Source organism: Homo sapiens, chromosome 9, assembly GCF_000001405.40.
Source record: "Homo sapiens chromosome 9, GRCh38.p14 Primary Assembly".
NCBI lineage: Eukaryota > Metazoa > Chordata > Mammalia > Primates > Hominidae > Homo > Homo sapiens.
In genome coordinates, this window is record NC_000009.12 from 32,666,731 (window position 1) to 32,679,286 (window position 12,556).

Consider the following 12,556-nt stretch of genomic DNA (forward strand, 5'->3'; position numbering starts at 1 on the left):
GCTGCAGGGAAAGCATGTGCAGAATAAAAACAGGGAAAGCAGCTGCACGGTTTGGAGAGAGGTGGTTGTTCTGTGTGGCTGCAGCAGTCCTTAATACACATCTTGCTGCTTATTAAGATTACCAGGAGAACCTTCAAAATGACAGACACCGTGACCCTACCACCAGCTCGATTAAACTAGAATCTTTTGGGGGTGAAGCCCAGTCCTGCATAAAATTTTAAGACTCTCTGGGCCGGATGTGGTGGCTCACGCCCATAATCCCAGCATTTTGGGAGGCCGAGGCAGGAGGATCACGAGGTCAAGAGATTGAGACCATCCTGGCCAGCATGGTGAAACCCCATCTCTACTAAAAATACAAAAAATTAGCTGGGCGTGGTAGTACATGCCTGTAGTCCCAGCTACTCAGGAGGCAGAGAAAGGAGAATTGCTTGAACCTGGGAGACGGAGGTTGCAGTGAGCCAAGATCATTCCACTGCACTCCAGCCTGGCGACAGAGCGAGACTCCATCTAAAAAAAAAAAAAAAAAAAAGACTCACTGGGTGGTTCTAAGGTGCAGCCACAGTCAAGAATAATTAGGCTAGAACAGTATAGAACAGTACTTCTCAAATTTTAATATAAGAATCACCTGAGGATCTTTTGAACTAAAAATAGATCTACCATTCAATCCAGCAAGCCCACTACTGGGTATCTACCCAAAGAGAAAGAAGTTATTATATGAAAAAGACACACACATGTATGTTTATAGCAGCACAATTCACAATTGCAAAGATATGGAAAAAACTAAGTGTCCATCGACCAATGAATGGATTAAGAAAATGTGGTATATATACACCATGGAATACTGTTTGGCCATAAAAAGGAACAAAATAATGTTTTATTTGTAGCAACTTGGATGGAGTTAGAGGCCATTATTCTAAGTGAAGTAACTCAGAAATGGAAAACCAAAAACCATGTGTTCTCACTTATAAGTGGGAGCTAAGCTATGAGTTTGCAAATGCATACAGAGTGATATAATGGACTTTGGAGACTCAGAAGGGGGAGGGAGGTGAGGGATAAAAAACTGCATATTGGGTACAATGTACAATACTCGGATAATAAGTGCACTAGAATCTCAGAATTCACTGCTATATAATTCATCCATGCAACCCCAAACCCCAAAAGCCATTGAAATTTTATATATACATATATATATACACATGTATAAATTCTAATCCAATAGGCCTGGGGTGGGCCTGAGAACCTGCGTTTCTAACAAGCTCCCAGGTGATGCTGATGCTGCTGGCCCACAGCACATTCTAGCAAGTGGATAGAACAGTGGTTCTCAAAGTATGGTGCCAGTACCATCAGCATCACCTGGGAACCCAGAAGAAATACAGATTTTCAGGGCCCATTCCAGATCTACTGAAATAGAAACTCGGGTTGGAGATCCGGCAATCTGTCTTTTCAAGTCTTCTGCATGGTTCTCCTGCACCTTAGAAAGTCGTGATAGTGCTGAAAAACCACTGGGGTGAAAAACCACTTTGGGCTAGAGCATCAAAAGGTTGGGTAATGGTATTGAAAGATACTAGAAATGTACATGGGGTATAAAGAATGTGGCATACAAAGAGTTAGAACAGGGGTATCCAATCTTTCGGTTTCCCTTGGCTATACTGGAAGAAGAAGAATTATCTTGGGCCACACATAAAACACACTAACACTAATGATAGCTGATGAGCCAAAAAAAAAAATTGCAGAAAAATCTCATAATGTTTTAAGAAAGTTTACAAATTTGTGTTGGGCCACATTCAAAGCCATCCTGGGCTGCATGCTGCCCACGGCCCACGGGTTGGACAAGCTTGAAGTTAGAATTTTATCCTATAGGCAACAGGAAATTCCTAGATAGTCTTAAGAAGAAGAGTAATTGAATTCGAAGTTATTTTAAGATCTTTCTGGCAGAAGTGTCCCTTTGAGGCACCTCCCAACTATGGTACGAAGTGTCCTAGTTGCTTTGGTTTCACTGACGGGCCTTTCCACCCATCTTCCCAAGGCCTCTGCCCCCCTACAGAAAGCTTCGGGTCCTATGACAGCTCTGGGTCCTGCCCAATGTTTGCTGGGCTGATTTCCCTGGTTTCTGACCTGGTGCCTGTCCATTGATTCTTCCTCTTTCCTGGGTCCCTTTTGGGGGTGGCTGCCTTTGGGCTGTCAGTGCCCTTTGACTTGACTTCTCCTGGGGCCATTGCCTCTTGGGTCTTCCTAACTTGGCTTTAAGTGCTGCATTCCACCATCGCCCTCATTCCCGTGCCACATCCGACTCCCACTCCAAGCAGAGCGTAGTGCCATGGGCCTTGGCTTGTCTGGGAGGAGGTGCTAGACAAACAGTTGAGAGAGACTGCATATCTGGCTGGCAGTGACTTGCTAGGTGACCAAGGCCAAGCAACTTACCTCTCTGGGCTTCAGTTGTCTCATTCATATAACCCAGTCTCCGGGATTGGATTTAAACATCATTCAAGAGACCCAATATAAAGCTCTACAATTCCATAGAAAACATTTGCTTTGTAGGATTACTTTATTGAAAAATATGTCCAATTACAAGTCTTTTTTCTTGGATATGGAAGAAGCTTACTTTTTCAAAATATAGAATCTGTTTTTACAAGCTCAACATCAAGGTGTAGAAGGATAATAAATTAGAAATAGTAACCAATGTTTTGCCCCCAGATATCTCCCCTATGCCCTTTGCTTCTGTTCAAGTAAGTAGACAATTCTGAGTTTATGGCCTTGGGAAGAGTTATGACACATTTGAAAGCAGAAAAAAACGGTGTCTATCTCATGCCAGTCAGAATGGCAATTATTAAAAAGTCAGGAAACAATAGATGCTGGTGAGGTTGCAGACAAATAGGAACACTTTTACACTGTTGGTGGGATTATAAATTAGTTCAACCATTGTGGAAGACAGTGTGGTGATTCCTCAGGTTTCTAGAACCAGAAATACCATTTGACCCAGCAATCCCATTACTGGGTATATACCCAAAGGAATAGAAATAATTCTACTGTAAAGACACATGCACATGTATGTTTATTGCAGCACTATTTACAATAGCAAAGACATGGAACCAACCCAAATGCCCATCAATGATAGACTGGATAAAGAAAATGTACATACACACCATGGAATACTATGCAGACATAAAAGAGAATGAGTTCATGTCCTTTGCAGGGACATGGATGAAGCTGGAAGCCATCATCCTCAGCAAACTAACACAGGAACAGAAAACCAAACACTGCATGTTCTCACTCATAAGTGGGATTTAAACAATGAGAACACATGGATGCAAGTTAAGCAATGAGAACACATGGATGCACACACCAGGGCTTGTTGGGGGTGGCGGACAAGGAGAGGGAGAGCATTAGGACAAATACCTAATGCATGTGGGGCTTAAAACCTAGATGATGGGTCGATAGGTGCAGGAACCACCATGGCACATGTATAACTATATAGCAAACCTGCACACATTCTGTATCCCAGAACTTAAAGTAACATTTTTAAAAAGAGGGGTGTCACCCCTGCTTTGGCTTCTAGAATTCTAAGCCTTTAGGACAGAGGCTGCAAAGTGGTAGCGCTTAGGGCAAAACTGAGTCACAGATGTGTTTTGTTGGCCCTGCGGTGATACTTTTCCAAAATGAATTGATTTTCAACATTTGAAATCAGAAAGGTTTGCACCAACCGAAACTTTCCACCTTCTTCTTGAAAAAATAAATGGTGGACCTGAACAAGAAGAGCCCTGTACCCCCTTTCCTGGGCCAAAGGGGCCTGGGAAGACAGCAAGACTGTGAAGCTTTAGCTTATGCAGAGCCCCATGCAGCTCCAGAGACTCATCGTAAAGATAGTGGGAGATCTGCTGAGCTCAGGACCAGCAGATGGACAGCTCAGGGGTGACATGTGTGGTCCATGGCTAAGGATGTCTTCCGACAGGCCTGATGTTTGTGGGAAGTGTGCTGAGGCCAGGACCAGCAGATGGAAAGCTCAGTGTGACACGTATGGTCCACAGCTAAGGACCCAATGGCATGAAGGTTGGATCTCAGCAGATGCCTTGGTGGACCAAAGGCATAGAAGATGGGATGTTTCCTATTACATCTGGTGCCCCAGCTCAGAACTGAGACACAATCCCCTGGGATGGAGAGAGTAATAGAAAATCCCTAACATCAAGATTAAGTCTCTGCCATATAAATAGAATGGGGGCTCAAAACAGAAATCAGTGTGAATTTTAGAAAAGAAAAAGAAACATATTTTCTGCATGCCTCAGTTTGGAACTTAAATATGTACCCGTTATAAAAGAAAGTAGGATTTTCCTTATGTACTTGTTTTCTATGTGCACACATCCTTTTAAAAATGACATCAGGTATGGGTGAGAAGGGTAGCAGGAGAAATGAGAATTGTGGTTGAATCTTTTCCTCCAGAATGAGACAACTGATTCATTCTAAAGAGCTTAGAGATGGATTTGATCTTTACACCAGTGGATCTTGACATGTTTGGGTCATGTACTCCTTTAAGGAGCTGATAAAAGAAACCTTCTGTTATGAAAAACATACATGGACACAAAATTTATACAATTCTATACAAATTCCAAGGGCTTCAGAACTCAAGCCTCTTTGGAAGCCCATCCACAGACCCCAGGATAAGAAATTTGCCTCTGCCTGCTACTCTTCCTGTCCCCATTTTCTTCCAGGGATTACAGTGAAAGGAGAGAAAATCCTCAGCCTATTTGGAATACAAAGAAAACTGCCACCCACAGTCTGTCACCCTGGCACCCTCACCATCTGCAGCCTTTCAAAGCTCTTGCCTGTTCCCACCTCCTTCCAGAGCTGTGTTGCTGAGGCCTCTTCCACAGGCCAGATGTTTGCTGAGCTCTGCCCAGAGCACCCTCTTTGGGACTGCCTCATACTGATGCACATTAAAAATAAAAGGGATGGGGCTCTGCATGCTCAGTGCGCTTCTGGCAGGGGACACTTAAATTTGCTACTTGTCAGGAAATTCACTCTGAACACAAAAGTGTCCTGGGCAAGAGATTCTCAACCAGAAAGGGTGCAGAAGTATGAGGCTGCAGGTGAGGCAGAAAGCACCCCCTAGCCAGCTGGAAGCCACTACACTGTTCAGCAGACTTGACTGAAGCAGGTGTCCAACCCCAACCAGCCACCTCCACCTCCACCAAGTTGATGGGGCCTCCTTTGTGGGGAGAACTGCTTTCGCCTGATGGCATATGAAAGAAACAACAGAGGCTGGCAAACAAGGCTGGTCATGAAGGGCTCACTCACCCATCACATAGGCATTGGGCACTACTGTGCATCCGGCATTGGGCCAGGCACTCCAGAGTCCCGACACCTCCCTGCCTTTCAGGAGCACGTGTTGTACTGCAAGAGCATGGGACCAGGTAATGCCAATGTGTGTACTCAGTGTGGTCAAGGGCTCCTCCTGACCGCCACTGGCCTACTATGAGGGCTTCAGCAAGTCACTTCACCCTCTGGAGCCTCATTTTACCCACTTGTAACATGAAGGTATTGGACCTGATGATCCAGAAGGTTCTCTTCCAGGTCATGAAACTTCTCCAATTCCATAGGGACTACATACAAAGCTTTTGCAGGAAATTGTATTGCTATCATTGAGCCACTAGATGACAACTGCACTTTGTTTAGGAGAAATGCTACCTTGGAAGAGTCACTGATGAGAACAGCCACAAACACAAAAATGGGTTTTTTATGCCAGTGAGGAATTATGTAGTTAAATGGACAAAATCGAACTGCAAAACAGCGGATAGTATCTGTCACCCGTATGACAAAATATGCTTAATTATCAAAACAACATATCTAACTGTTTCTGTGCTGATTCAGAAGACACTTGGGGATCTTGGAGAATCTCATAGTTGTGGTTTGGGAGCAGAAAGTGGAGTTCTCGGCACTGACGTCAGGAGACCTTCTGGTCCCAGCTCTTGCTCTAAGAGTTTGTTTGACTTTGGTGAATCATGCATCCTTCCTCTACCTTTGTTTCTGCATCTTTAAAACAAGGAGGGGCTCAACCAGACTCCGTGAATTGGCCCTAGTTCTAGCATTCTACAGTTCTCTGGATCAGATTGCCAAGTGTAATAAAGATTTCCAGCACTAGATATGGATGAGAAATCCCTATCATTTTTGGTCTCTAGAACAAGAGAAAGAAGGCCTACTGTCACATGCATGTTTAGAACGCAACATGTGACCACCATGATTTGGGACAGCTTGAGGGAGTCTCTGACCTTTGCCAAAGAAGTCTTTGCCAAATTAAAAATCCCATAAAACTTGAAGTCTGCCTCTGTGCAAAGGAGTGTGGCAACAGATCCCACCTGTCAGGAAGACAAAATTGTCTCGCCCCATGACCAGAACCAGTCCCTTAGGCAAACAGCTTGAGTTCTTGCAGAAAATCTTCCAGCTTCTTCCTGGGGCCAGCACCAGTTCTTTCTCTCCTTTGTTACTCCATATTGGCTTCATTTCCCCCCACTTCCCTTTCTCTGTGTGCATTGAACTTCACTCTGGTCAGGGAAGGAACCCATGGCTCTCAGGAACAGAAAATATCCCTTTTAGAGCTCATAGTCACAAATGAGCTAGCACCTCAATCTAAAGAAGTTTCTCAAAGTGTGGTCTGTCCACTCCGTGTATCAGAATCAGTGATGCTAAAAGTGCAGAGTCCAGGTTCTACCTGAATGTACTGACACAGTATTTCTATGGGAAGCCTGGAATATGCATTGTCACAAGCATTCTGGATGGGAATGAAGCCTGAGCCCCACTGCCTCACAACAGGGCCCCTTGTCCAGGTCTAGGATATTTGAATTACAGGCAATTTAGTGGAATTTTAGTATTGAAACCAGAATAAGAGGTAACAACATATGATTTGAGAAGCCATACATGACATTTGTTGAGATAGACAAAAAAAAAATCTAAGGCCAGGCATAGTGGCTCACGCCTGTAATCCTGGCACTTTGGGAGGCTAAGGCAGGCAGATCACCTGAGGTCAGGAGTTCAAGACCAGCCTGGCCAACATGGTGAAACCTGGTCTCTACTAAAAATACAAAACTTAGCTGGGCATGGTGGCGGGCACCTGTAATCCCAGCTACTCAGGAGGCAGAGGCAGGAGAATTGCTTGAACCTGGGAGGTGGAGGTTGCAGCGAGTCAAGATCGTGCTGCCACTGCACTCCAGCCTGGGCAACAGAGTGAGACTCCATCTCAAAAAGAGAGAGACAGAGAGAGAGAGAAAATATCTAAGACAGAGATTGGCAGTAGCTCATATGGGGCTTCTCTAATGGCAGTGCTACTGTAAAATCCAGGCCTGCTGATCTTCTTTAAAGGTGAAGAAATTTACATTTCCCTTCCCAACTTCATCAGAATCAGGGGGCAGCAACTCACCCTAATTAGTCATCTCACAATAAACTGGTAAATAAACTACAATGTTATTCTGTTAGTTACAAGGACAGACAAAATTGCTAAGCAAACAGGAGTATTCATGTCAGCATGCCAAGGAATTGCCCCTGCCCCACCCCCCACACCTTTCCCCTTTTTTTTTTTTTTTTTTTTTTAGAAAAGTCTACATAGGCAAATTACCACTAACAGATGGTTTGATGAGCATGGGCATGGGAATTAGATGATGTTAAAGTCATGAGATGTGGCAACCAGCAACACTCTCCATCAAAGGAAAGAAGGTGAGAACAGACCTGCAATTTACCTAAGCACTTCCTATTGACAAGGCATCATCCCTACTCTTAATCTTGTAGGAATATGCTTGACAAAGGAACAAGAATCTTCTTGCTAGCTGGTTTGAGCTAGCCAGTGATAGCAAACCCAGTGATAAATGTTTTGCTTTTTTTTTTTTTTTTTGAGACAGAGTCTCGTTCTGTCACTCAGGCTGGAGTGCAGTGGCCCGATCTCGGCTCACTGCAATATCTGCCTCCCGGGTTCAAGCGATTCTCCTGCCTCAGTCCCCCAAGTAGCTGGGACAACAGGTGCCCAACACCACGCCCAGCTAATTTTTGTATTTTTAGTAGATACAAGGTTTCACCACGTTGGCCTGGCTGGTCTCGAACTCCTGATCTCAGGTAATCTGCCCACTCCGGCCTCCCATAGTGCTGGGATTACAGGGGTGAGCCACCGCGCCTGGCTGGTTTCTTCTTCTGCTATTTTCTCCCTACACCATGGTAGTCCACCTTTATTCTGTCCATTGTAACACAAGTGAACAGAATTCTCGAGATGCAGCCTAGTCCTATTAACTAATAAAATTTCTTAATTCTTAATTCTCTTCATCTCCACAAATGGGATTCTTAATTCTCCACAAATGGGACTGTAATCCATTACCTATAATTCCATTTGCATTTTCACCTAACCTCCACACTTGCTAAACACTTATTTTAGCAAAATGAGGCACAACAAATAAAATATTTGCTTTTCTACCAAATTATGTTTAAATAATGCACACATTTAATTCTTAACATCTCTTCCAAAAGTACAGCTGAAGCAGCCTTAGATGGAATGGAAGTGACTAGTACTTCATTTATGTGCAATGCACCTCCAACCCATATGTATCTAACTAGGTTTCAGGCTCAGCTTCCAATCTAGGTCATGAAGGTATGCACAGCCTCCCTAACTTTCCCCATCATCCCATGGGTCCACTTTGTTACCATTAGTCACCTGTCATGCGGGTTCTATTGATGTGATCTGTCCTCCTCAGCTTTATAGGTTACATTTTTTCCTATAATCGACTTAAATTTAGGGGAAAGGAAAAGTCAGAGGAAGCAGGTATATTGAAAGCTTGCTTATCTTTACAGCAGCTGCTGAAACAGCTGAAATAGAAAACACTAGCTTCTTTCTCAAGAGCTTTTATTTAAAATAATAATAATAATATCACTGTACATATAAAATAGTGAAAGCATTAGAAATATGATACTCTTAAGACCTGATCTACATTTTCCTAGTTCAATGAAAAGAGAATGGGATTATCATATGGAAGAGAGCCAAAGGCACAGATAATACAAAATAACAAATTTAAGTTACCAAACATAGACACTTTCACTTGTAATACATTTTGGGGTTTTTTGGTTGTTGTAGTTGCTTTTTTATGAAAAGAGTTAACAATTTTATTTTCACATTTCACAATACAAATAAAAACTACTTTTTTTTGGTCCCACTTCTCCCCTCCAAAACTATTCTCTCTTTGATAAGAAAAGAGAGAAAGTCTTCCTTATCGCGCTGTTAAGAAAACACCCAGAGTCACAGCACCATGGTCTCCTAGTGAAGTAGAACAAGTAATATAAACCTGATACACAAGGCCTCTGCACTATCCTTAACCATCTGGTCAAGTCATTCTAGGCCAAGCAGGCACCATCATGGGACAGGCGGGAGGCCTTATCATTGACATGTGACCTCCCATGAGTGGCTTCATTCCAGGAGCAAGTCCCACTGGCATCATCCCACGGAAAGGAGGGCCCATCATTGGCATCATGGGAGGGCTCGCATATGGGGTGCTGGCATTATACTTGGGCAAAGAGGACCTGGAAGGCTGGGGGGAGGGGGTATCATTGCCCCTGCAGAGGAGGAGCAGAGAATAGAGTAGGAGGTATCTTTCCTGGATGAAATGCAGCCATTGTTTAGTCAATCAGGGTCTGACTGTTCTTCTCTCCATTTTTGGTAGTAGTCTTTCACATTCTCTTTGTGTTTCCTACCACTGAAGTGGGCCTTTCTCACAGATGGCAAGTCATGGGAGAGCTACATATTGTAGTAGACACAATAAGACTTGGGCATGTTGCTCTGAAGGAGGTTGGCCACTCCATTCCACAACGCCTGGAGATGACCTTGTAATACATTTTTCAAACTTACAGTATAACATGGAAATAGTGGTAAAATGTTTTGGAAAAAAAAACCACAACATTTTATTCCAGGAATTCTCTGACCATACTATCCTGTCTTTCTAGAACTTTTCATCCCTACTCTGATTATACCTGTTCTTTGATCTTCATAAGATCTTCAGCAAATTGTATACTTCATTTTACCCTAGTCTTCTGTTTTGTATCATCCTTTCCTGTTTCATTTTCTTCCCTTTCCTGCCCAGGTCCCATTCTTATCACTTCAACTACTTTCTACCGAGAAAACCCAGCTTCCTTATCTCTTTTACCCCCTTCTATTAAACCTGTCTTATAAATCTCCAACCCTGGATTAACCCAAACATATCCATCTTCTTCCATGCTACCCACTGGTAGCCAAGTGTCAGAGAAATACACACAGCTAGGTGGACTGGTGCTACTACTATACATTTAGGATTTCCAGTCTCATCTGGGTCCTCAGTGCTTCTAGCCATCTGTATCTGTGTCTCTGGTCAGTTACCCTTTTCCCCTCTTCTCCATGATAGGTCCAAACTTTTGCCATTCTTCTCATGCTCCCTAGCCTATCCTAAGTACCCCTACTTTCTTTAACTGATAAAACTGAGATGACCAGGGATGAGCTTCCTCAGTTCCCACTCCCCACTCACAAGCTTATCTGCATCTCTGTTTTCCTTCCCGGGTGTCTTGGAGGACGAATGTGTCAAGGCCAGTGTCACCACTGTTCTTGTGTCACCGCTCTTGAATTTACTCTTCGCCATATCCATCCAGGAATTTGTTCCATCAATGATTCATTTGCTCTCCTGTTTCTTCAACTTTCCCCTCCTTCTGGTTTCTTCTCATCATATTCAAGTCTCTTTAAATCTAAAAAATTACAGGTAAAACTCTCACCATTCTACATTCCTCTTTTAGCTATCACTCCAATTTGTCTTCTTTTTATCTGGGCTTCTGGAGAGGTCCTCCATCAGATATGACTTTCCTTCTGCCTCTTCAAATTCACAGAAACTGCTTGTCCTAAGGTCATCAATGACTTCCTCATTGTTTAACCCAGGGAATAGTTTGTTCTTTCTTAGTTGACTCCTCTGAGATACTTGGCATCATTGCTCTCCTTTTTGAAACCCTCTTCTTTAACTCCCAGTGGTGCATAGGCTGTAGGTTTACTGATAGCTCCCAAATCCTATCTCTAGCCCAACCCACTCCTTCAGACCCTCATATTGAACTGCACACCAAATTGCCCACCTGGATCCAAATGCAACATATCCATAATGGGACCCATTTATATATCCCCAAGTTTCTTCCATTCGTGGGCCTCAGTTACCAAATCAGAAGCCTGGGAGTCATCTTTAACTTCTCCCCTCACCTCCACCCTTATAGCGAATGGTTGCCAAGTATTTTCTACTCTACTTAATAAGAAGGCCTCACATCTAACTTAGACATTCAAAGAATCAACTGACTATTCTGCTTCCCATCTCACCCCAGCAAAATCTCCTGTGGAGATTGGAATTCTGTGGTTTTCTCATTCTGCTCTTCATATGTAACATCCATTCACTGAATGAAAACACCTGACTTGGGAGGAGTGACCCCAGCTGCAGTGAAGGGTGCCAAGTATCAAGCTGATTTCTTTTCTAAGTATTTGTGTTGAGAAAACAGGGTTTTGCAAGCCATAATCATCTTGAATTATGCATTGTTGAGCTGCTTTAAGCATAAAAGCAAAAGAAATAAATGTGTAATAATATTCAGGGTAAAGTTGGGCCATGAAAATCATCACAGTGAAGTCATTTGTGGGGCCTTGCCAGGTTCTTCTCATAAGGATGAATCTCACTAGTTCCCTTTGAAATGCAGGGGCTTGGAGTTCTGAACCACAATCCTATCTTTGTGCTCCAAGTTAAAACACATGAAAATAAACCAGAGGACAGGAGTGTGCCTGCCACCTCCTCAGCAGCCCTTCTGGCACACACGGGTAGACGATCACGTATAGATGCATCTACATGGGTAGATCCATCACCACAGCCCTACTTGATGTCATCACAAGGCATGTTCCAAGACCCATCTGGAAGGTGTTTCAGAAGAGAAAAAGCCTAGAAGACTTCAACATTTATAAAACAGCCCATGTTAATCAGACTCAATTTTATGTCAGAAAAATTTTTAAAGGAGCAAAAATGAACTAAATACTATCCAAGATTCTTTCCAGCTGAAGAAAAGTCTACAATCCCTTTAAGTCACTGGTTCTTAACTTTGGTGGCAGTGGAGGTGAAGGAGGTGTTGCAGACTCCTTTGAGAAATCAATGGAGGATATGGATTCAGTTTTCAAAAAATGCTTACACATACCCCACCCACACCCCCCAACCACAAACTTTTATGTACAATTTCAAGGATTTCATGCATCCCAGTTTAAGACCTCATGTCTCCATTTCGGCACTGACTACACATGAACTTGAATGTGACTGAAACATTTTTTGTAATCACAAAAATATAAGATTTCCACTTAGCGCCCCTGAAAATCACCTAGGTTTCTAACCTGTTCCTCTTCCATTTCCTAAGGGTTCTTACTATGGACTTCCCTGGGTGGTGGTGGCAGGGGGGCTATTTCTCAGCTCAGCAGAGAATGCTGTTTCATAGTTAAGCCAGTGTTTCTCAAACAAAAGCCTTTGGAAGAACTTGGACTCATTCCATCTCCAGGCCCATGGCTTCT

General features: G+C 43.2%; 1 pseudogene; it reads right to left on the reverse strand.

Annotated features, from left to right (window-relative positions):
* SNRPCP1 (small nuclear ribonucleoprotein polypeptide C pseudogene 1) lies at positions 9,103 to 9,829 on the reverse strand (annotated as a pseudogene).